Source organism: Homo sapiens, chromosome 10, assembly GCF_000001405.40.
Source record: "Homo sapiens chromosome 10, GRCh38.p14 Primary Assembly".
Classification (NCBI taxonomy): Eukaryota; Metazoa; Chordata; class Mammalia; order Primates; family Hominidae; genus Homo; species Homo sapiens.
This window is the reverse complement of record NC_000010.11, coordinates 122325723-122351826: the sequence shown is the minus strand read 5'-3', so window position 1 is coordinate 122351826 and position 26104 is coordinate 122325723. Positions and strand designations below refer to the sequence as shown.

At 47.2% G+C, this 26104-nt stretch overlaps 1 protein-coding gene and 1 pseudogene across 7 annotated transcripts in view; both read right to left on the bottom strand.

Annotated features, from left to right (window-relative positions):
• RNU6-728P (RNA, U6 small nuclear 728, pseudogene) lies at positions 6034–6137 on the bottom strand (annotated as a pseudogene).
• BTBD16 (BTB domain containing 16) overlaps positions 13668–26104 on the bottom strand; it is a 66864-nt gene continuing 54427 nt past the window's right edge. For all 7 annotated transcript variants that reach the window (NM_001318189.3, XM_011539239.3, XM_011539241.3 and 4 more), the window contains 6 exons: positions 22256–22347; positions 20569–20651; positions 19314–19391; positions 16848–16946; positions 15145–15333; positions 13668–13810 (listed from right to left, as the gene is read on the bottom strand). In NM_001318189.3, coding sequence (NP_001305118.1) covers positions 13742–13810; positions 15145–15333; positions 16848–16946; positions 19314–19391; positions 20569–20651; positions 22256–22347 — 610 coding nt within the window. In that variant the 3' untranslated portion in view covers positions 13668–13741. The remainder of the gene's footprint in view (positions 13811–15144; positions 15334–16847; positions 16947–19313; positions 19392–20568; positions 20652–22255; positions 22348–26104) is intronic.

Here is a 26104-nt window from a genome sequence, read left to right as displayed (position 1 = left end):
TGTACTTCATACAAGTGTCCATCTAAGATGAACTAGGGAAAAAAAATTGGTTCCTATCACACACAAGCATTACCCATGTAGGGCTTTGAGAGTCTCAGAGATCAAGAACAGTTGGGATTTTGTGGACTGACTTCCAGAAAGAGAAAACCTTGAATCAATGAAGAAGTCCTCTGCCTCTTTCTTTCCCCTTTTCTTCCTCCTTCCACCTTGGTACCACAAATTTTAGTACCAGAATGATTCAAGATGGAAAACACAGTGATGCTAAGATCCTCTTGTGAGATTTTCTTAAGCACTGGGTGACCCAGAAGGAACTTTCCAGAACACTCTTAACACTTGGCTGGAGGAGTCAAGCCTGAGAAGGGAGGACAGGCAGGATGGCGGTGGGGACGGAAGATGCAGTCTGTAACGATGCTACAAAACGAGGCCAAGGAGGAGAAGGCAGGAAGAGAAAGACCCCAAAGGAGAAACCCCGCTTGCTTCCTCCTCCCTCCCCCATCCCCAGTCTGTCCAGCACCCTCAGGGAAGAGGAAGCTGTCATGTGACGGGAGGACCAGGTCAGTTTCTCCCATAGCTTTCCACTGACCCTCCCTCAGGCCACTGCAACGGAAGAATCGCTCTGTGGGCTTCCTGTGCCGTTTCCACATAGCTCGTTTCTGAAATCTTCCAGCCCAGTGCGCAGTGGACCTGGAGATGTGCCACACGTCTTTCAAGTCCCAGGCATCCGCCCTCCACCCTCAGTATGCTTGGGGCGTCAACTAATTAATTCACTGAGATATGAGTGCTGTGATGTGTTGTGCAGCTGTGTCAGAGCCAGGCGTTCCACGAGGGAAAAGGCAAAGTCCACGCTCTTGTGGAGTCATGATGAACAAGCCAGAAATGAGCAAGATCAGTCTAGAGAGTGGCAAGAAGCAAGAAAATAAGATAGAGTGAAGACACAGGGCCAGAAGGAGAAGCCTGGTGGCATCTGGCCTGCCACTTGCCATCGAGTTTCGTGGCTCTCCAGGTGGATCAGAATACGTGTTGCGGTAGGGAGGAGTAATAAGAACTGGAAAGCATTTGTCCCAGAGAATCATACATGATTTCCTTACAAAATGGGAGGTGTGGTCATGTCTGTGCTGGGGACTCAGGTCAGTGGGTCCATAGGGAACAGGTGTCCCAGAGAGAAACCTTGGTGGATGCCAAAAGCAGGCCCTGCAGTGGCCTGGGGGTCCCAAGGCCTTATCTGTGGGTGGGCACCAACACACATTAATCCAAATGCCAGTGGCTTTTGCTTAACCACCTGCAATGGTATCTTCAGGGGAGCGTCATATCTCTGGCTCAAACCTCTTGGTGCTGCCTGCTGCCTGCAGGAAGACATTTCTCCACTGCCACCTGGGCAGTGATCAAGATTGAGGTCGGCTAGTGGTCTTGAGATGTCTGTAGACTTCAGGGTGTCAGAACACATCAGGTGGTGTCTATCCGGCTGTAGCCATGCCATAAAGTGTGCAACAGACATGGAACAAATGTCCCTGCCCCCTTCCACATCTCACCTGTCATCTGGGCCCCAAAGCAGCACAGCTTGTACCCACAAGCTGTCAGAGTCCTTTGGAGAACAGTTCCTTCACCTCTGTCCATGGAGTCTCTCCTCACTGGGCTTGGGCTCATATCTGGGTGACCAGGCCGGGTCAGGCAGCAGGCATAATCCAGCCTCACAGGCAGCACCCTGCAAATAAGCTCATGCAAATGGACACCTGCAGGCTGACACGTTCCTGGCTTATCAGGCACACCCACCCCTTTGGGCCTCACCTGGCTCTGGCTACATTGCAGGAGATTCTTCCATTTTCACAGGAGGACTTTACAAATCAGCCTGCATTAGTTTCCTGCAGCTGCTGTAACAAATCACAAACTTGATGGCTTAAAATAATACCAATTTATTCTCTTACAGTTCTGGAGGCCAGAAGTCCAAAATCAGTTTCACTTGGCTAAAGTCAAGGTCAGCAGGGCTGGCTGCTTCCAAGACTCTAGGGAAGAGTCTGTTCCTCTAGGGCCTGCTTGCATCCCCCAGCTTGTGACCACATCACTCTCATCTCTGCTTCGGTAGTCTCATTGCCTTCTGCCTCTCTGAGTGTGTGCCTCCCTCTTATAAAGACCCCTTGAGTATATTGGGCCCACCTGGATAATCTAGGATCATTTTCCCATCTCAAAATCCTTAACTTCATCATATTTGCAGAGCTCCATTTGTCACATAAGCTAACTTTCCCAGGTTCTGGGGATTGGAGCAAGGATGTCTTTGGGGCCATTATTCTGCCTATCACATGTCCCCATTCTGCCCCTCATTTTGTGTTCACAATGGTTCTGTGAGGATGAGAAACTGAGGCTCAGAAAAGATAGAAAATTTGCCAAAAGTCACCCAGCCAGAGAGTGGTAGGGAAGGAGGGGGTGGAATCTAGATCTATGGGTTCTTAACTAAGTTGAACAGATTGAACAATAGAGTAAGAGAGGATAAGGCAGCCACCATGTGAAAAGGGCCTGCTGCTTTTCCCTCCACAATTTCTGCGTCTCCAGCATGCCCGAGCAGGCCTTTGTTCCTACTTCTTTCTTTCAAGGGTTAAGAGTTGAGTGTTTGTCTGAGCACAATGGGAACACCTGCAGACTGTCCTAGTTCAAGGAGTGACCCACATTGGAAGAAAAGAGCTAAGCAGGCCACAGCTGGGTCCAATTTTCCCTCCCTATTCCTGGCCTCTATGGCAGTCCAAGGGTCGCTTGCACAGCACACACTCATGTGGTTTCGTCAATGATTTTCTTAATTAACCCACGAGTTAATATACTTCCTGTTACTTACGGAGATGCCCCACATCCCAGGGACCCTCAGCCGTGACCCAACAGCCAGGAAAAGAAATGGGAACCTATCCCTCTGGCACTGAACAAGCAAAAAAAAAAAAAAAAAAAGGAGTCTTAGAGCAATATTCACTTGTTATTAAAATAGTAAACCATTGATTCAATGTTCAGTTGGTGTTGGAGGGGGACAACAAGCATTATTCATTTCCTAGGTATCTCAAAGGCACATACAGGAACAGTCGCACCTGCTTGGAATAAAACGTGCTCAGTCCACATTAAGACATTGAGTGACTCATGACTCTTATTGGGGAAGCCAAGCAATTGGCTGTGCTGTGCAGTGATGCGTAGATTAAAGAGAAGTTAATCACTGTGTTCAAGACTCACTGAACCCTTTCTGGTGGCTCAGGGCAGACAAATGACAACCCCCCTGCTCCCAGCTGCAGTTCCATCTGACTCTCAGAAGCCTGGCTTCCTGCTTACAATTCGTGATGCTGCACCCAAAGTTTCTCTCTCCTTAAAGGAGTCCAGGAGCACATCAGGCCCCTTCGGTTGGATGAGAAATGAGTCCCAAGAAGGTGTCTCTGGGTGGCCAAGAAACCAGGGAATCCTGCTAAGTGAAATAAAGGTTGAAGCTTCCTTTGCCTTAACTCATATCAGCTCTGTGCATGGATTGACCAGCCTCTCAAATGTGTCAGTCAAGGGCCCTTTACCACCAGCAACAGCGACAGAAAGCAGCAGCAAGGTTCCTCAGTGTTGGGAGGAAGACGAATTATCACATCCACATTAGAGAGCGAGTTTATACTATCAGATCAAAGTTGCATATGCTTTTGGACCCATCAATTTCATTAAAATATATTTAGAATATGCATATTTTAATAGATCATATTTGCATACTTTAAAAAATTGTTTTAGTTTTCCAGTTAACAGTATATTCTGGAAATCTTGCCACTAGGTTGCTTCAACAAAAACTTTGTAATGATTGTCTAGTGTACAGATCTACCCTATTCTGTTTAATTCCTGCTGTTAGGCACCTAAAATCACGCTGATGCTTTGTATTACAACAATGCTATAAGGAATGCCTTTGTACCTAAATCATGGGCTATTTTCTGGATTTTTATTTTCTAAGTATAAACTACTAAAGTGGATTTGCTTAATTCAAAAGGTATGTATTTCAGTTAGCTCTTGCAGGGTAATAAACCACCCCCAAACTTAGTGATTTAAAACAACAATTAATTACTTCTTATGATTCTGAGGGTTGGCTGAAGAAATCCTTTGCAGGGTTTCTTCTGGAGTCACTCATGAGGCTGCATTCCACAGGAGGGTCGACTGGGCTAGAAGGTTCCAGATGGCCTTACTCACATGTCTGGCAATTGGGGCTGGTGGTCGGGCTGAGGTTCTCCTCCACATGGCCGCGTTCCCTCCAGCAGGTTAGTAGAGGCCCCTGCACTACACGGTCCCAAGACTCCAAGAGGCCAGAGCAGAAGCTGCAAGGCACATTGAGCTCCAAACTACTGAATGCTACCATGTTACTTCTGCCACACTCTGTTGGCCAAAGCAAGCTCCAGGGCCAACCCAGACTCAAGAGGATGTAGAAATAGACTCCATCTGTTGATGGGTGGCACCGCAAAGCCAAGGGGTGTGGACACAGGGAGGTGTGATTCACCGGAGCCATCGTTATCATCATCTACCACAGTAATTAACATCCTAAGATCTTTTCTAATATGCTGCCACACTGATCTCAGAAAGGCAGTGCCAATTTATACTGCCACCAGCCAGTGTCCTTTGGGAATGTGTGCCTTTAAACAAACTGGTGCAACCACTTTGTGATATGTGATAGCAGAGGAGCTTTCTGCCCCAAGGGGCCACAGTCACACCCCTCAGTGGTAACTCAGGACCAGGGCAAGTTGAGGAATCATGCAGGGAAGTTAAGGGATCCTCCCTCCCTCTCTGGGACAGGGCAGGGGCTCTACATTTCTCCCAGCCTGTCCTCCTGTGGAGTCCTAATTAGGGAAAAGGAGTCAGGCTGGTGGGAGCAAAGGAAAGCAAAAAGAAGAGGCAGGTAAGCCGCAAATCTGCCTTTCTTCATGGCCCAGAACAGGTACCCCTCGTGCACCCAGCTTATCACCAGACACCTGCAAGTTGGCTCACTGCAACCTTGCATTATTAGTATTGCACAAAGCCCTCTTCGGCATATAGCATAAGCATTATTCTATAAAATCTCCAGCCAGCCTTTGTTTCCTTGCAGTCAGCTCCTCTTCTGCTGGCCTGCCCATTGCCTTCTCACTACATAGTTTCATACTTTCTCTAGTAAATTTGCCTTTCATTATCTACAACTGTCTTGGTAAATTCTTTTACCCCTGCATCACTGGTCCAGATAGTCATTGCTCACCCACAACACATCCCACACCATGTTGACACCTGGCATTCTTTCCCAAGCCCCCCTCACCTCTGCTGACAAACAGCATCTAGAAAAACTTTTTCAAAACCCAGGTTTCATCAGGGTGGCCCCAGGCCTGAAACTCTTGAATACTAGGTGGTCTTGAGAAAGAGACCAAAATCCAGGGATGTCCCAGCTGCCCACATCTCCAGCCTCTGCTGCTGGCTCTGCTGGCTCTGCCCACTGGGGCCTTCTCCCGTGTTTTTTAAAGGTACCAGGCTCACTTTCACATGTTGTCTGGGCTTGAATCTTCTCCTGAGCCCCCAATTCCTCCTTTTTTTTTTTTTTCAAAAAAGCCCCAGTTTTATTGAGATAGAATTAATGTATCATACAATTCGCCCACTTAAGTGTACAGTTTAGTGGTTTCCAGCATATTCACAGAGTTGTCCAGCCATCACCATTGTTCAATTTTAAAACATTTTCATCACCTGAAATGGAAACCCTGTGCCCTTTAGTGGCCATCCTCTTATCTTCCAGCCCTAAGCAACCACGAATCTACTTTCTGTCTGTAGACATTCCTCCTCTGGACATTTCGTATGAATGGAGTTATATAATACGTGTTTTTCTGTGACTGCCTTCTTTCACTTAGCATGATCTTTTTAAGGTTTATCCATGTAGCACGTGCCAGTCCTACATTCCTTTTTAGGGCTGAGTAATGTTCTATTGCATGGATAGACCACACTTTGTTTATCCATGCATCCACTGATGGACATTTAGGTTGTTTCCATTTCTCTTTTTTTCTTTTTCTTTTACTTTTTTTTTAATTTAAAAAATTTATTAAAAACATGGAACATTTCACAAATTTGTATGTCATCTTTTTGCAGGGGTGATGCTAATCTCTGTATCATTCCAATTTTAGTATATCTGCTACCAAAGTGAGCATTTTATTTTATTTTTTGTAAAGGACGGTCTCATTCTGTCACCCAGGCTGGAGTCCAGTAGTGTGATCATGGGTCACTGCAGACTCCACTTCCTGGGCTCAAGTGATCCTCCCACCTCAGCCTCCCAAGCAGCTGGGACTACAGGCATGAGCCAACCCCCTTTCTACAGGCGCCTCACCCCTTTTGCAGGTGCACGCCATCGCTCCTGGCTAATTTCCATGTTTTGCCTGTTGTGAATAATACTGCTACGAACATTCGTGTTCACGTTTCTGGGAGGGCATATATTTTCATTTTCTCTGGGGTATGTAACTAGAGGTGAGAATTGCTGGGTCACATGGTACTGTACGTTAATTGTTTGAGGAGCCACCAGTTTTCCAAAGCAGCTGCACCATTTCACCCTCCCACTAGCAGCATATGAGTAGTCGTTTCTCTACATCCTCACCTAAACCTGTTTCAATTCCCACTCCGACTTCAGCTCTCTGTGTAAGCGTTGCTTCCCCTGGGAGGGCTCTCCTTGGGCCTTGATCCCCACACCAGGATCTAGGTCAGCTTTCTTTGCTTTATGCTCTCTGGAAACAGTGCTCCAGGCAACTGTGCTCTTCAGGGCACACAGGCATTCTTTAGTGCATATTCCACTAATAACTGTCTTTCCCCACACACTGTAGGCTCTGAGATGGCGGAGACTGTGTGTTTTGTTCACCTTCACAACCTCACCCGAAGCCTGGCCTGCAGCAGCTCACTGTAAATCTGTGGTGTGAGTAAAGTCAAGGAATGAAAGCACAAAGGTCACATGACTCATTCAAAGTCACAGAGCTCAAAGTCATGAGGAGCAGCCATAGGAGCCCTTTGTCCCACATCTGCCAAGCCCACAGGGCAGCCACTAGCCATTGAGTCCACGGAGCACTTGAAACGCGGCTTGGCCGACTCTGGGCACACCGCCTGTGAGTTAGTGCTCCTCTGCAAGGAGGAGTTAAAAAAAAAAAAAGGAAGAAAGAAACATGGCTAGAGTGACAAAGAGTGAAATTTTAAATTTTATTTCATTTTCATTTATTTAAATTTAAGTGGTTAGCGCAAGTAGAAGGAGCAAGATAAGAATAATATCAATACAGAGCTGAACTCCGCTTCCCCAGCATGGGAACCTTCCTGTTCCACAGCACGACTTTCTCCAGAAAGAAGTCTGAGGTGGCCTCAGGCTGAGCCACAGGCATGGGCACAGCCTGCCACTGAGGCTCCACTCATCGGGGGCCTGGGAAGAGACTGAGAGGCTCGGAACCCTAGAGAGTCTGCAAAGCCAGGAAGCATCCAGTTCTGGTTTCATGTTGGGTGCTGTCGTTACCTTGCTTCTTCTACTTAAGCTTATGGCAATTTAAATTTAAATTAATTAAAATGAAATAAAATTGAAAACTCAGTTTCTCAGTTAGCTCCAACCCCATTTGAAGTGCTCAAAGGCCACGCATGACTAACGGCTACATCGGATACCACATCGGATACCACATCAGATACCACATCGGATGGAGCAGATGTGGGACATTCCCATCATTGCGGAAAGTTCAGTTGGCTGGTGCTGCCCTCAGGGTCTGTCTCACAGAGGTTTCTTCTGTCTCTCTCTCCTCCAGGAGAACCTCCTTCTATACCCGCCAGCTCTCAAGGCCTCAGGGCCCAGAGGCCCAATTCCCCATATCCTACACCTACCCCCGTGTGCAAGCAGGGCCTGGGACTTCTGGTACCCAGGTCATCCCTGGGAAGCTCACTCTTCTCCCCAACAGCATGGCGAACCCCAAACAGTAGCCTAGGCTTACAAGAGCAAGAACAAACTCTCTCCTCCCCGGTATTACAAGATGCTCCAGTCTCCCGGATGCAAAACCCTATAAAGAGGGGCGAGGAAAAACCTTCTCCTACTCTTTCCAATTCATTCCCATTCTGATGAGCCCACGGGAAAATAAGACAGTTCCTTTCCCCAGATCCTCCTCCTTCTGGTTCACAGGCTCAACAACTCACATCTGTTCTTTCGTATTCACAGAATTTGAGAATCTGATGATTGCAGCTGGAAAGACTGCAGAGAGCACCTGGGTCAACCTTTTCATTTTGCATAAAGGGAAATAGGCCCAGAGAAAGAAAAGGGACTGTCCCAAGATCGCACAGCAACCATTTTGACCTTCAACAAGTACTCCCTGACTCCAAGCAATAAGGGTGAAAAAATAAGGAATAAATTGTATAAAGCACGTATTATGTGGTAGGTGCTTTACAAAAAACATCAACTTATTTAATTTTTACCATGAGTTTGATTGCCTATCTCAGATCAGTCTCTGAGGCTCAGAGAGGTTAGATGGCTTGCCTAAGGCCATACAGCTGATAAGGGGCAGCGCTGAGACTCAAACCCAGGTCAGTTGTACTCTAGAACCCGAAAGACTTGGTGTGCACCAAATGAGTCCAGGGCCATCTCCCCCGTTGGAGGGGAGGGGATAGGAGGTGAGCGGCTAGGAGGTGAGCCAGAAGGGCATCAGGAGAAGTGAACGAGGCGTTTCAGACATGGCACATAAGAGGTTTCGTTAACCAGTGCTCATGGCCACTGCTTTGGGCATTGGGACTTTGGGCTTTAAAATTCAAGTTCTCCCTTGAATCTCTACGAATTTCTCCCTTGTAAGAAAAGCTTGTAAAATTATTTTAAGATTTTTTTGTCTCAAGACTAACACTTCTCAAGTTCAGAGATTTTATGATGTGCATACTGTGGATGTTTGGATAAACAGAGCCTCTCCCAGGACGAACAGCTCCACTTTCAACCACAAAGCAAGGGGACTCCCTGCTGTAAAACGAGTTTTTAGGTTGCAAATTTTTGCCACTAAAATTTTTGAGGTGGACCATGCCCCCTAGTGGAAAGGGGTGGACTGTGAATTATGGCTCACCCACAGGAGGGGCCTCATTACTAAGTTCTGTTTATTTCATATTCTAGGAAATCAGTTTTGCTTTGTTTCGAATCAGCCAGTGTGGTGAAATCAATTCACAGGTTTTTTGTTATTGTTTGGATTTTGTTTTGGCACTGGGTAAGGAAGACAATTGGGTGTATGGAGCACAGTAAGAAACCCTGCTGTGGAATTGACACACAGATCAGTTTCTGGATGTGATCCACAGACACCCTGCATCAGCATCCCCCAGGAAGCCTGTTATAGTGCAGATTTCTGAGTGTCTCTCAGACTTCAAAATCAGCCTCTCTCAGCCGGGGCCCAGGATCTGCGCAAGCACAAAGTCCCAGGTAATTCAGATGCATATTCAGTCCTAGAGCCATGAGGCTGGAACACCACCTGTGTACCGTTTCCCTCCATCCCCACCTACAAGGACAGCCCCCCATCCTTCCAGGCCCAGGTACGTGCCACTCTCCCACCCTTGCCCCTGCTCAAGTCCCCATCATAATCGAATGAGATATCATATGAGGCACACCCTGCACACCGCAGCCAGGCGCGTAGCATATGCTCCGTGCGCATTGCTTTTGAACAGATAGGTGTTCAAGAAATACTTGAATGAAACACCCTAAAACATTTCCACTCTTCTCAGTGGGCCATCAGGGGAAATAGAAACAGATAGGCCTGTGGCCAGGCCTGAGCTGGACTCCCAACTCTGCCACACTGAGGAGACTTGGATGAATAAATTTACTTTCTCTGGGCCCAGACTGGAGTGCAGTGGTGCAATCTCAGGTCACTGCAACCTCCACCTTCCTGGTTCAAGCAATCCTCCCACCTCAGCCTCCCAAGTAGCCGGGATCACAGACATGCATCACCAAACCCAGCTAATTTTTGTATTTTTAGTAGAGACAGGGTTTCACCATGTTGGCCAGGCTGGTCTTGAACTCTTAACCTCAGGTGATCCACCCACCTTGGCCTCCCAAAGTACTGAGATTACAGGTGTGAGCCACCATGCCCGGCCTCAGCTTCCTTCTTATCAGACATGGAAAATACACCTACTTCATGGGGTCGGGAGGATTCAGTGAGACGGTGCTTACCAAGCATTTTCCCACCAGAATCATTACTCCACCTTGCTGGGGCTCCATTTCCCCCTTGTACAATTAGGAGGTGGAAATGACATCACAGGGCCCCTCCCTGACACTCCAAGTCCTACTGTCTCTAGTACCTTCCTGTTGCCCAAGAGGAAGGGGAGGCAGCCCAATCCTTCAATCCTTCCCTTTTCCTTTTGGGGCTGCCTTCCTCCTGCCACCCCAGCCCCCCGCAGGTTTTGGGGCTGCCTTCCTCCTGCCCGCCCCAGCCCCTCCCTAACATTCCCCACTCTGCTTTACTGCTCACCTTACAGACACATTTTTGGCATCGCTCCTTGGCAAGTTTCTCCCACTCTTGCAAACTCCTGGCGCATGAGTTTACGTATTTCAAATACCTAACCGTTGTTTCCCCTAGAGACCGGGCAATCATTCATGTTTCAGAGACGCTTCCAAACAACCTCTCCTCTCTTAGACATCTGCAGATTTGCTTGTCAGTGTTTTTAGTTCTTGTCATCCCTGTTATCCTACAGAACTGTGGTAAAATGCCACAAGGTTGCATTTTTTCTTGAGCCAGTAACACCAAGCCCCCAGGCGTCTGCACAGGGACTGGTCCATAAAGAGGCCTTACATACAGTGCTGCCTGCGGGGCTCACAGCCCCTGAGAGGGAGGCAGAGGGGTAAGTTTATGTCCCTTTTAAAGATAAGAAAATGACAGTCATGGAAGGTAAGTGACAAGTGACTTTTCTGATGCCCCGCAATTTGAAGGTGAAACAAATACACCATCTCCTTCCTCCGCAAACACTGTGCTCGCTATGAAAGAAATCATCCTGTTATCCTGTTTAACTTCCCCCGCATTCCCTGCTTTTTTTTTTTCTTTTTTTTTTTTTTTTAATTGAGACAGGGTTTTGCTCTGTTGCCCAGGCTGGAGTGCAGTGGCACAACCGCAGCTCACTGCAGCCTCAACTGCCTGGGCTCAAATGATCCTCCCACCCCAGCCTCTCAAGTAGCTGGGACTACAGCTGCCCACCACCATGCCCGGCTGAGTTTTATATCTTTTGTAGAGATGGGGTTTCACCATGTTGCCCAAGCTGGTCTTGAACTCCTGGGCTCGAGGGATCCACCCACCTCAGCATCCCAAAGTGTTGGGATTACAGGCATGAGCCACTACACCCTGCCATCCTGTTTAGCTCTCTCAAGAGAAGAATGAGGCTCTGAACTGCAAATCCCATTTTAAATGGAAAGAAAACTATAAATGCACCTAAAATTCCTCCTGGAAGGTCGCCTACCAAACATCTCAGTGTCAGCAGTCCCAGGCTGTTTGATTTTCTTCTTTGTATTTTCTCCCTTTTCTGTGACAACATGTATTATTTTATTGAAGTAACGTTTAGTTTTTAAAAAGTAAAAAAGTGAAACCATCATGTTATTTGAAAATAAACTACATCTCCCGGTGAAAACCTGGATGAATCTCTTAAATGTGATGTTGAACAAAAGCGTGCAGGCATGAAAGAGTGTGCACTGTCAGATTGTTTGCAAGATATTCAAACTAAAGGGCCAAACTAATTCATGGAGATGGACGTCGGTGTTGTATTCACCTTGGGGGGTCCACTGGGGGTGTCTGGGGTGCTGGTTATGTTCTTTTTGTTTTTGATCTGGGTGCTGGTTATATGGGTGTGTTCACCTCATGACAATTCACCAAGCTCTATCATAAATTTGTGTGGGTTGATTTTGGTTTTTTAAAACATTGAATCAAAATACTATTTATCTGTATTACTAAGTATTTCGGTGCCCCTTTAGGTTATATGCCCGAGCAAGTGCCTCGCTTGCCTCACCCTAGACCCCGCCCGGCAGGGATGGGAAGAATCATTGAGGCTGTGTTATCCAATCATCCACCCCACTGAGCCACATCTGCCAACTCATCAAAACCCTTTACATTAGGGACTAACCTGGAAACATAAACTAGTCTAGGGGTTTCAAACAATCAATATAATACAGAGAACTGGTTCCCAGATGAAGTAAAACTCAAGAAGCTAAGCAGGGAATGAGACGACCCAGAGACTGCAGTGAAGGAAGTCCTCACTGCCCCAGAGCCTGGAGGGACACAGGGACGAGGTGGTATCAGAACCAGAAGCAGGGACCTTTGATGGGTGCTGAAACCCTGGCAGGAGGCTATGGGCATGAGCTGGGGCACAAGCTGGGCAGCGGAGGAAGGAGACACAGTTACTGCTGGAAAACGTCCTCTGAGCCCAGAGGGTACAAACTACCCAGGCCTCTCCTGTTCTCTCTCTTCCAAGCTCCCATCTCCACCTCTCATTGACTGGACATGGCCGGAAGCAAGCCGGTGAGGCAGCCTGGGAAACAGGGCTTGGGGAAGGGCGGGGAGAACCTGCCAACAGGCTCCCAACACCCAGTTCCTTTGCGCCTCCCTGCCAGGTCACACTGCACAGATTCCTCTGCTGGGAAGGAGGCTCCCTCAGCTGTGTCTGACTCTAAGGTGATTGTTAGACTAAACTTATCCACCTCACTGTCTGCAGAGCGTCATCGACTCTCCATCACTTTTCCAAAGACAATGGGTAATACAGTGTGGTGGACACACCCTCAGGTGACCCCTTGTATAATTCTCTCCCCTTGGGTGTGGGTGGAGCGTGTGACTTCCTTCTAGTCCAGAGAGTAGGGCAGAGGGGAGGGGCTGCCACTCCTATGATTACCTTACATTATATAAGATGCTACCTTAGCAGACTAGAGTGAGAGATTCTTCTGCTGGCCTTGAAGAAGCAAATAGCCATGATTTGAAATGTCTGTAGAGAGTCACATGGCAGGGAACTGCAGGGCGCCACTGGGGCCTGCGCAACCTTCTCTCTACCCCAGTAGCAGCCGGGGCCCTTGGTCATACAGCTGCAAGAAAATGAATCTGCCAACAACCTGAACGCGCTCGGACATGAATTCTCCCCGCCATCTCTTCAGATGAGAAGACAGCCTGCCTGCCACTAAACCGTAGTCTTATGAGGCCCTGAGTATTGGTCCCAGTGAAGCTACCCCTGAATTCCTCAACCATGAAAACTGAAGTAATCAATGTGTTGTTTTAAGTCACTAAATTTGTGGTCCTTTGTGACACTGCAATAGAAAATAAATAAAGTGGGAAGGAAGGCTCTCTACTTCTCTCTTTCCAAACTGCAGAGCTTCAGTTTTAAAGGTGGGATAATAAATAAGTCACTCTGTACTTAAGAATCACTTCCTTCCCCTCCTATCTCTTGTTCTGTCTGAGCCCAAACTGCCAGGGACGATTGGCAGGCATGTTGTTCTGTGTAGCAGGCAGAGCTGCATTTAAGGGAAGTCTTCCATGCTCCTGGCTGCAGTCTGTTGCCACTGCTGTTGCTTCCCTGGTGCTGGGAGAGGGCAAAAAGTCAGGGCTGGACTCAGGGTTCTGTGGGGCAGGGCTGGTAAATGCACTCTCGGGTCTGGCACGTTCCACCCTCAAATGATACAAATGTGGACAAAAGTTCGAACAAGACCATAATGAACTAGGAAAGGCAACGGAATGCTTGAGTGCTCCCTTTTATGTCATTTTATTTTCTTTTATGCAGACCAGTGGGGGGAAAATCCCATAGATTCTTCTGGAAACTGTCAAGATGCTGGGAAGATGAATGCAAAACTTACATAGATTGGGATGCCCACAGTTTGGATTTTCAAGGTCTAAAACATGAAAAAAAACAAAGTGAATGTGACTTTTAGGATGAACACAATTGCCCCCCAGAAGGGGAAAGAGGAAGGACTAACAGTTGTAGAAAATGCTGGCTCTCAACTATGGTTGCACATCAGAATAACCTGCAGAGGTTATTTGAAATAAACTGCCAATAAATTAGGAATAACTTAAACACAATAACGTGCACAAATCTGAAGAGGACAGCTTGATAAATTCTCACCAAGTAAATGCTCCTGTGTAACCATCACCCTGAACAAGACAAATATTTCATCCCAGCACTTTGGGAGGCCGAGGTGGATGGATCACGAGGTCAGGAGATCGAGACCATCCTGGCTAATATGGTGAAACCCTGTCTGTACTAAAAAACACAAAAAATTAGCCGGGTGTGGTGTCAGGCTCCTGTAGTCCCAGCTAATCAGGAGGCTGAGGCAGGAGAATGGCGTGAACCCGGGAGGTGGAGCTTGCAGTGAGCCGAGATTGTGCCACTGCACTCCAGCCTGGGCGATAGAGCGAGACTCCGTCTCAAAAAACAAAACAAAACAAAACGAACAAAAAAAAACAAATATTTCCAGCCCCACAGAAATGTCCTTCATGTTCTCTGTCAGTTAATTTCCCAGCCCCTCTCCCTCACCCCCACAAAGGAAATTGTTACTGTGATTTCTAACGTCATAGAAAACAACCTGGAAGCTTTTAAAAATACTGATACCCTGGCCCGATCCATGGAGTATCTATCTGGTCTGGTGATCTGGGTGGGGCTCTGGCCTTGGTAGTTATAAGGCCCCCAGGTGATTCTGATGTGCAATCAGGACCAGGAATTACTCACTGGCTTGTAGCAAAGTCTTATTCTGGTCAGAAGCCAGGCCAGGCAGTGGATCTGCCTAGATGCTGGCAACCACCTACTGAGGTAGATGGGCCCAGCCCTTCCCCAGTGGGCCTGAGTGAGGCAGGTGGGTCTGGGCTGTGGATTTCAGGGAAATTAATGTGCCACTCACAGGCATCAGTGGAGGTAGTGATGACAAATACACTCCACGGAGCCTCCTCACCTAAAAAAAAAATACCCTTTGATGCTTATAAAATAGATCTGGTGTGATCCAAATCAGGTAGTCTGATTTGGGTTATAGTTACCTGTATCCATGGTTTTTCATTCTAGAAGAGATTTCTCTTTAGCGTTATTTGAGGCTGTGATAATCCTTAAGAAACTGAGCCAGATTTTCCAGGGATCTTCAGTGTAGAGCACTGGAGATTAGAAGCCAGTGATCCCCAAAAGGATGGGGGAGAGAAAGAGCAAAAAGGAAATAAAGGAAAAGACAACGTGAACACTTGCATGGCTTTTGCAGGATGACGTGGTCAACCCAAACTTCTGCTTGATCTGGTTTGTCCTGAACTCCTGCCACTTGCCGTCAACCAGGGCCTCTGCTCTGATCTCATACTTCACCAGGCGTGCCGCTCGCAGGCTGACGTGGTTGTGCTCGTAGACCGCAGAGGGAGATTCCAGGTCTGTGTGCTTTATTCTCTGCAAAGAGAGTGATTCACCTTAGGTGGAACTGCAATCGGGGTGGCCCAGAGTTAGGGAAAGCTGGAGCCTGGCATATAGACCCTGGTATATAATGTGTGCAGGCAGCAAGAGGGCATTTCCCAATTGGCACCATCTCCTAAAAGTTGCTGCTGCTGAGTCAGTTGTCATTGGAGCCCCCACCATACATAAACCTGTGGCTGATGGCCTGGGCTTTGGCCAATCTAGGAAAACACCATCAAGTCAAGCTTTATGATGCCTTTGCCAGAATTAAAAAACCAATGTAGTACTCATAAGGGCATTTGGACTGTTGCTGTCACATAATTCATCTCTTCCACCCAGAAGAATTCATTGTGTAGGGAGATGCCTGAGTCAGTGGGGACCAAGAGCTGAGGCCCATGGAAGAGAAATGACTTGCTCCAGGGGACATATGAGGTACTGGAAAATCTGGGACTAAAACTCTGGTTTCTTCATTCATGCATTAATTCACTCGTTTATCCATTCATTTATTCAGTCAGTCATTTAAAGCCCCTTTATATGGAGGTTGCAGTAACCCAAGATTGTGCCACTGCACTGCAGCCTGGGCAACAGAGTGAGACTCCATCTCAAAAAATATAGAAAAATAAAAAAATAAAGCTCCTCTATGTTCTCGGTACTGTGATTGGCAGTAGTAATAAAAAGATTAATAAGATATGGCCTCTCAAAAGCTTGCAGTTTAGAGAAGAGACTTGTAAGCAAATCTTAAGTGGAACACAGCAATCTTTCATCATAGTTGTCATTGTCATCGTCAACATCATCATCCTCATCTTCCCTAATGCACATAGTGCTTTGTGTGTCAAGCTTGTTCCAAGCCACCCTGCACAGATTAACACATTTAAACTCACAACAATCCGGTGAGGTATGTCCTGTTACCTTCTCTGCCTTAAAGGTGAGGAAACTGCACAGAGGAGAGTTCCTGGCACTTGCCCAGGTCCTATAGCTCGCAAGGCCGTTCACCTGCGGACTCTCCACTCCTAAATATGACATTCTCCTGCCTCTCCTAAAGTCCAGCAGGAGCACTACGGAGAAGTCAAGCACCCTCCTGACTTTTCTGGGGTCCTGCCCACAGCCTGCTTTGCAGCTTAACAAAATTACCCCCTCTCCCAGTTGGGGGCATTACCGGTTATCTTCATGGGAGAATAACTGAATTGTATGTATAAATTGAAGATGAAGTGAGCTCCACATGTAGAGATAGAAGACTAGAATCTAATCCTGACTTTACCAATAGAGTCCATATGAACACAAAGACGCTCAGTTTTCAGATCCTCATCCGCTAAATGGGCTACCAATACCTACTTCCCAAGGTTGTTGTAAAAATCAAATGACATCACATACATGAGCGTGGTTAGCACTTACAATACATTTCATGTCAATGAGTAATTAATGATGAATCAATTATTATTAATTCAACATGAATTGACTCTAACTCTAAAAGACTGTCTCAGAGACATAACTTTCATGCACTCTATCCTTACCTGCATGTAAAAACTATAAGAGGTAGTATCATGTTTGAGTCCCTTTATCTTAAAGAAGAATCCATATAGAGCAATCGTTTTCGAATAAGTTGTATTCTCCTAAATTGGGAAAGAGAAACAACAAAGTGAAGGGGGGAAAATATTTAGTATTCAAAGTCACCCGGGCGTGGTGGTTCACACCTGTAATCCCAGCACTTTGGGAGGCTGAGGCGGGCAGATCATCTGAGGTCAGGAGTTCAAGACCAGCCTGGCCAATGTGGCAAAACCCCATCTCTACCAAAAATACCAAAAAAAAAAAAAAAAAAATTAGCCAGGCGTGGTGGTGCGTGCCTGTAGTCCCAGCTACTCAGGAGGCTGAGGTAGGAGAATCACTTGAATCGGGGAGGCAGATGTTGCAGTGAGCTGAGATTGTGTTACTGCACTCCAGCCTGGGTGACAGAGTAAGACTCTATCTCAAAAAAAAAAAAAAAAAAAAAAAAAAAAAAGGCCGGGCACGGTGGCTCACACCTGTAATCCCAGCACTTTGGGAGGCTGAGGCGGGCCGATCACGAGGTCAGAAGATCAAGACCATCCTGGCTAACATGGTGAAACCTCGTCTCTACTAAAAATACAAAAAATTAGCCAGGCGTGGTGGCGGGCGCCTGTAGTCCCAGCTACTCAGGAGGCTGAGGCAAGAGAATAGCATGAACCCAGGAGGCAGAGCTTGCAGTGAGCCGAGATTGCGCCACTGCACTCCAGCCTGGGTGACAGAGCAAGACTCCATCTCAAAAAAAAAAAAAAAAAAAGTCAAGAGGACATGGTAAAACAAAGTATAGCAACAATAACAACCGTCACTTATTCAGCAACTGATTTGAAAGTGAAAATACAATGGCAATTTTAACCTAGGAAACATGGGGAAAGCTAAACTGAAATCCTTGGTAGTAGTAATTACTAGTAACAATTTGAATGAATTCACTCCAAATTGGATGGCAATATCAACCTGAGTTAAAAAAAAATTCTATACCACATATTAATGCTTTTAATTGTAATTTATATTATTTTGAATGAAATATACTTTCAATAATCATGCAAGAAGGTACCACTGCCCAGTGAACCCTGGAGGCTACCTCGAGAACTATTGTTAAAGGAAAAGCCATCAGTGGCCCTTGAAGGTCAGCTTTGACTGATCCATCTTATTCTTTAAAAATATTTCAGTTATCACAATACTACAAAAAAAAAATTACAAAGCAAAAAGGAAGAAGATATTTAGGCTGCACATGGCTCCATTTAAAATTTCTTCTATTTTTATGTTTTTCCCCATACTTTTCCCTATATCTCCCTTCACAGGTCCCTGGGAACCCATCAAGTTTGCAAAAGTTACAGTGTTCCCCCAAAACCATGCCTCACCCCAACATTCACCATGCCCTGGCTGCAATCCTGCTTGGCAAAGAAGGTTTGAGATCAGGTAATCAGTGTTTCTGGAGGGTTTAGACCCTCCTTTCCTTGGTCTCCCTACAAACAGTTGGTACAGTTAGTAGAAGTTAGTAGTAGACTTAGTAGTAGCTACTGAACAGTGACGATATTATTTACTCTTCATGTTCCTTAGTGAGGTAAAGAATAGGTTAGGTATGTTCTTAGATGACCTGTGGTCTATAGACCTTTGAAACAAAGCATGTTGTTTCAATTTGATGGGCCCAAGAGCCACTCATAGCATTTGCAGGAAGTCCTGGCTCTGTGATCTCCATCTGCCCACTTAGGCACGATGTCTCTGCAACCAAAAGGCTGAGCCAGCCTCTCCAGGGATGACTCAGAGGGGACTCTCTGATGATGCATTCAGCACCCCTAGTTCTTGAAACGTGAATTCTTTTGAGATCACTGCGGGGGTGCCTTGAAATAATCAAAGGAGATCACTGATTTCTTGGAGAATTGCTTCCATCACAGGGAACCCAGCATGGAGCACAGCTACCAACTCCAAGGTTCCCCTGGTCACTAAGTGCCAAGATGCCTTGCAATCAAGCTCCTTGACCCACTGCAGTTTTATTCTGAAATCCATCAAAATAGCTGCCCAGACTGAGTTCACCCCTATAAGCTTAAACATGGACTTGGCATGGAGTCTCTTGTTGAGCCAGTTTGCAACTGTTGGTGTTTGTGGGAAATAGAAAGACCAACCCTTCCCAGTTTGCCTTGGCCTTTCCTGGTTTTAGAATTGAAGTCCTACATCCCAGGGCAACTCCTCCATTCCAGTACCACCAGGACTGCTGGTCCTCTTAGTGGGGAAATTATTAAATGGCCCGCCCCAGGCCCCTCCCTTGTGAATTTTATTTCCTGGGAGCTGATGACCATGCAGGAGAGACACCTGTGGTTCTCTCTTCTGGACCCCTGACCTTCCTACCAGGAGCCAGAAGTGATCATGGCTGCCCTCCAAAGGTTCTTAACTAAGCACGAGAGGAACAGTTCTTCCCCTTGTTCGGGTACAGTTCTCAGTACCTGGTTAAAGAGCAGCCCAAATCTCACAGCCTGGGTGTTAAGATCTTTCAGGTGGACCATGTCGCCCCCATTCTCCAGCTGAAAGGAAAATGCACACAGCTGACCACGGTGGGATCCTCTGGACACGAGCGCCTCTCTTCATCTTCATGCCTCTTCCTTGACCCCTGCCCCCCTCACCAGGTTTGAAAAAGAGTTTTGCCTCTAGACTTACATTCAGCCATTCATTCAGTTCACAGACATTTATTGAAAACTTACTGTGTCTGGCACTGTGTCCAGTGCTCTCAGAGGATGCAAGGAGAAGACAAAAAAGTATCTGAGCAGTCTCACATGGGAAATAAAATGTGTGCATGGGGCAGAGATGATCACAGTCACAAAATCAAGAGCAAGCAAGGCCCCTCATGGGAGGCTCCAAGGTGAGGGCTGGGGAGGAGAGGGAGCGGAATTGGAGAGGATGACGTTGGCAGCGGGGGACAAAAGGAAGGAGGTGGGCAGAGTCAGAGGACCAAGAGGAAGGTGGGGACTTCCCGAGATGTCTGCACAGACTGTCCCCTCTCTGTCAGTCCTCTGCTGCTCTGTTAGAGCATGGTCCTGAGTTATGTCCCAGAAAAGCACCTCCTTCCACGGAGTCGAGATCTATGGTGCGGGGAGCGCTGAGCACTGTGGCTTGCATATTACAATAGGTATTTGTTGAGCAGGATTGAATTTTAACTAGTGACTCATACATCTTCAGAACTCACACACTGCCCCTCTTCATCTCTAAAAACGCGAGATTGAAAACACATAAGAACTACCACAGTTTGCATGGACAATTCACAAAGGGGAAATGCCGCATGGAAAACATTCATAGTCACCAGTAATAAAAGAAATACATGTTAAAAAATGAGACGCGGTTGTTCCCCTCTCAACTAAGAAAAGTGATTTGAAATTTAAATGCCCTATGTTGCTGAGGGTGCACAGAGAGAGACATGCTCATTTATTACTGGAGGAAGAGTTATTTGGTCCAAACGTTTGTTAATCTGTACCAAGAACAAAAATGCATATGATGGGAGCTCGAACTACCCGGATTCCAAGGCTGGGTCTCCTCCCTTCTCTCCTTCCCAGGCACTGCTCTCCCCACTTTCCCTGGAAGATGATCCAGATATGTCCTGACCTCAGAGGTTTAGAGGTTTCAAATGTGAAACACATCTCCAGAAAAAACAAAGTCAGAGAGGCAATAAACTTCGACAACTGTGTCCTTGCAGAGCAGGCAACTCACTGCGTGGTAATGGTTGACTGTAACCTGGTCGAGCCATGACTCTGGGAAGAAGTTAAGGTGCCGCAGCACCTCCAGATCCTTGCCTGGGAAGAAACGCAAAGAGAATGTTTTTTAGTTTTATTCACACCAGAGCCTCAAAAGTCTCATTTACAGAAAGGAAAAGGAAGAAGTCCGGAGCTGAGGGAAGGGAAAGGGGTGGATGGTCTCCTTTAAGGTTTGATTGACAAAGTGGAAATAAAACGTCTCAGGGTCACTGTGGTTATGTTCAGAGTCAATTACTTTTATATTCCAAATCGATTCTCTTTTAAAAACGTACAGAAATACCAGCCTGGCCAACATGGCGAAACCCCACCACTACTAAAACTAGCTGCGCGTGGTGGTGCACATCTTTAATCCCAGCTACCTGGGAGGCTGAGGCAGGAGAATCTCTTGAACCCAGGAGGCAGAGGCTGCAGTGAGCCAAGATTGCACCAGTGCACTCCAGCCTTGGGGGACAGAGTGAAACTCCATCTCAAAAAAACAAAACAAAACAAAACAACACAAAAAACCACCTTATACAAACAAACTTCCAAAGGAACCAATACATTCACTCCAAATTGGATGGCCATTTCAACTTCAGTTTAAAAAAATGTCTATACTACATATTAATGTACAATTTAAGTGTAACATATTATTTTGAATGAAATATACTCTTAACAATCCTGCAAGAAGATATTGCTGCCCAGTGAACCCTGGAAGGTACCTTGAGAACTATTGTTAAAGGAAATGCCATCAGTGGCCCTCGAAGGTCAGCTTTGACCAGTCCTCCTTATTCTTTAAAGATATTTCAGTTCTCACAATATTATCAAAAAAATTACAAAGTAAAAAGGAAGAAGATATTTAGGCTGCACATAGCTCCAATTTAAAATTTCTATTTTTATTTTTTTCCCCAAACTTTTCTCTAGATCTCTCTTCCCAGGTCCCTGGGGAAGAGTTAGTGTTCCCCTACAACCACGCCTCACCCCAACATTCACGGCCCCCTGGCTGCAATCCTGCCTGGGAAAGGAGGTTTGAGATCAGGTAATCAGTGTTTCTGGAGTGTTTAGAAGCAACTTGGACAAAACTACCTGGCCCCATCAACCAGTCCTGAATTCTAGAGCTACTTATTATATCTGGATAGCTGGAAATGGCTTTGAAAATGTTCTCAGAGGTCCTTTCAGATGCAAAGATCTCACTGGGTGGCCTCCTGGACTGCTGAAAACATACTCCCCAACATTTCCCTCCTCTTTCCCAGTTACAGGTACCATCCCCTGTGCCCAGAGCATGAGGTTAAGGGAGCACAAATTCAGAGTTTTCTCCCAAACTGCAGAACAAGGGGCCTAGAAGTGAAGCATGTGAAGAGGTAGGACATACAATTAGATGCCAATAAAACAGCCCTTGGCAGCCGTACACTGCTTCACAATATATAAGCCCATTCTAGCCATCACTATATTTCATCAGAGCTCAGATTACCCTCGTTTTACAGACAGGGAAAGTAAGACCAAGAGGCTACATGACTTTCCCGAAGTCACACAGCTTGGAAGTGACAATGCCACGATTCAGGTGATTCCCTTGGAAACATCAGGTGGGGCTCCCCCGGCAGTGGCTGGGGGGTGGGCAGGTGCCCAGCAGCTTTCCCGTGGATGCGCTCGCCTGGACTGGGGCTTACCTTTGGTGATGCCGTGCAGACGCAAGCAGAGGAAGAGCGGCCTCAAGCTCCGTCCTATGTCCCGGTCCAGAAAGCAACAGTTCTCAGGAAAGCTTAGCAGAGGCATAAAGAAGAATAACAGACCTTCAGCAAACTCCTCTCTGGAATTAGCTCGGGCTAGGGAAAGCCATGTTGTAGAGACTAGTGGCTTCACTAGCCAGGGGGAGATGGGGCCTCGGTCCCTCTGGAGGGGTCAGGTACATGGAAGCAGATGGTGGCTTAGACGACATTTTATAAAGTCCAGCCCCAGAGATGGTAATGGAGACAAATGCTTATAGTCCCCTCGGCATCTACCACTGAGTTCTGCACATAGTAGGTGCTCGATAAATGTGTATTAAGTGACTGATGGGAACACATGTTACTTTACAGAGGACCTCAATATGCATTTTCTCACTTGAGTCTCACAAACTTCTTGTGGGGCAGACGGGGCAAGGATAGTGAGCTCCATTTTACAGATGGGAAAAAGAGGCTCAGCTCGGACTGGAACCCGGGACTCCTGACTCCCCCTGTACATACGCTGCCCTTCCAGTAAGTGACCAAATTAGGCGCTGCAAAAGTGCTTTCTGAAAAAATTAAAAAGAAGAAGAGAACGGCTGTGTGGGGAACTAGTTTTAGCAGCTGGTTTCAGGATCAGTTCTGCTATACTCAGTGTTAATACCAAGCTCCAGTTAACTTCCTCACGGAGCTGAAGTTCAGCGCTGGGTTGAGAAGATCCAGTTCTTTTTGAGAAGACACGCACACACAGACACGCATTCCCTGCCCTTCTTTTGAAATAACTCACTTCACAAAAATGGTCACTTTTCATAAATGGGGACAATGGGGAACAATCTTTCCAAGTCCCTTTGGAAATGCAGTCACTCCCTCAAGGCAGAGCCTGCATAGGACCCACCCAGGGTACTTGTAGATTATTTTTCCGTAAATCAAGAGTGGTGTCCAAGTCACACCCTGTCCCAGCTGGACAGAGGGCACCACTGGCCCTGTGGTCCCTTCTGTCAGAGATGCCCGCCAGCTTTCCCGGAACCGTTTATTTTCATAAGATCTGGGAATTCCTGGGACCGCCCAACTGCTCCACGCCAGTGATCCCAGAAGATAGGCCTAGAGGTGCAGAAAAGTTGTAGGCACAAAGACAAGTGAGTTCTGATTCAATTCAAGGGTTATTTACCAGTATCTACCCTGTGCCTGTCTCTGGAGGTGGACAGAGCAGCCATAAATAAGGTCAGGCGGATGCTTTCAGGAGTGCAGAACTATTGGTTCTGGAACCAGCCCTCCATTACCGAGGGTAAGTGGAGCCGGGGCTGGTGGGTGCGGTGCCTGTGCCCTGAAAACACTGACATCTTCGTGGGACAAATAACACTCGCTCACTTCCTTTCCTCAGATGATCTGAGCCTCCTCCTTCTTCTGCCTATTTTTCATCATGTCATGGAGGAACAGCTGAGGCGTCATCATGGCTGGGCAGCAGGTTCCAAGGGGCAAGAAGGGGCCAAGCTGACGCCGTCCTCCCTAGCCTTGCCCAGTGCTCTGGGGACAAGCCAGCACCTATGGCCAGCGCTCCACAGCCGGGTGCTGCCCTAAGCAGTGGGCCCCGGCTGGAGCTGTGGCTGAAATACAGATTCAGTTCCAGAAAGGAAAGGCCCCATCTGGAGGAAAGCATTGCCCTCCACCAGGAAGCTCCAGACGCCGGTTCTGCTGATGTGCCTTGGCATGGCAAGGCTGCTGGCAGGGGCAAGAGGAACCGAGACCCTGATCCTCCCTTTGAGAGGCACTCAGACTCGAAGGCCATTCAGCCAGGGCCTCTCTGGACAGCCATCCTGTCCCAGAGGATTTGGAAACAGCTTTGTTGAGACAGCTTGTTGGACTTTATGACCCCTTGGGGCCTCTGGGAAGTGGCAATGATGCCCACTTTTGTGGATGACATGGAGAGGCCATGAGTCATCTCATCATCCAACCAAGCTGGGACCCCCGAGGCAGGCAGACCAGGGTCCCGTCCCAGCCCAGCCAGCCACAGTCCTGTGACCGGGCCTCTCAGAGCTTCACTCTCCTCTGTCAAGTGGGAGCAGTAGCCACAGGTGGTGCCTTGGGGAGAAGGGAGGAGTAAAGCTGACAGTGTTTGGGAAGGGCTTGGGCCAGCTGCTGGCTCCCAGTGAGTCCTCAACATCTATAAGCACCACCATTGTCCTCCCGCCCCAGGGAAAGTGAATGGACTCAAGCAGCATCAAATGCAGGCAATTGTTCCTGGTGGTATTCATCATCATTGCCACCCTCCAAATCACCCAAGTTATGGGCCACCTCAAAGATAGAAAGTGGTGTCCTCAGCTTCTGATTTCCTGAAATCTCAAAGGATCTAAGGGTTGTGGTCCACCCTCAGAACTGATCAATATAACCCGGCTCTGGGAGCCTAGCAAGGTCCACTGTCTTAGAGCCAGTGTCCTACACAGGCCACTCAGGGCTAGTCCAGCACATTTTCCATTTTACTTGGCGCCACTTAACTGTCTGGGAGCGGAGGCACCTGCTCCTCTCTGGTCCAGTGGTGAGTACATTCACATGGTGTCACGTAAGATGGGAGGGAGCAAGCAGCTGCTAAGTCTGGGGACTACAGTGCTTGGCTACACTGGTGGACTCAAAGACTGGCATGGTTTCCCTGGTACTGCGCTCTGTTTGTGCAAAGACCTCTTTTGGTTTAGCACTTATTTTTTTGAGACACCTTCAGGCGATGGTCTATGCCTCCCAAAGTTCACTGAGAAACCCTGGGGCATGACCCCTCTAGGGAAGACAGTTCACAGTTCCTTGCTACTGAAAGATACATCCAGGTTGGCCCTGGGTCCTACTTGCCAGACCCTGGGGACAAATCTCCCATAGACTCGGAAAGACAGTACCTGGGGACAAGTCTCCCTCTGATGGGTACATATTGTATTTTAGAGGTGCTCTTCGCCACAACTTTCTCACTTCCTCTACCCTGTCATCTGCTGGAGCCTTCCACCCTTCCTGCGAGTATCAGGCCCACAGCTCTGATAGTCCAAGCACTTCAGATTTTAGCCTTAACATACATATATGCTACAGCATGATGAACCTGGAAGCAGTAAGCCAGGCGCAAGGGTGAATGCTGGATGATTCTACTCTATGAGGTACCTAGAGTCATCAAATTCGTAGAGACAGAAAGTAGAACGGTGGCTGCCAGGGGCTGGGGAAGGGGAATGGGAGTTGTTTCATGGGTAGAGTTTCAGTTTGGGAAGATGGAAAAGTTCTGGAGATGGCTGCACAACAATGCGAATAAACTTAACGCCACTGAACTGAACACGTAAGAATGGTTCACATGGGAAAAATTCATGCTATGCATATTTTGCCCCAGTTGAAAAAAGACATTAGGGTTAAAAGTGACTTTGCTTATTTGAGAAACACCTGAACTAACATATTAAATTTTAAGACAACGTTTGAAAAAAATACACATTTTAGGGCAATAACTCACAATGAGAAGAGAAAATGGCTTTTTTTTTTTCTCAAAATATAACTCAGCATAGAAGACTTGGGACACTCCTGAAATCAAAGAACCAGAAAATGGAGGCCAGCCACAGTGGCTCACGCCTGTAATCCCAGCACTTTGGGAGGCCGAGGTGGGTGAATCACCTGAGGTCAGGAGTTGGAGACCAGCCTGGCCAATATGGTAAAACCCCATCTCTACTAAAAATACAAAAATTAGCCAGGCATGGTGGTGGGTGCCTGTAATCCCAGCTACTCGGGTGGCTGAGGCAGGAGCATTGCTTGAACATGGGAGGCAGCAGTTGCAGTGAGCCAAGATCATGCTACTGCACTCCA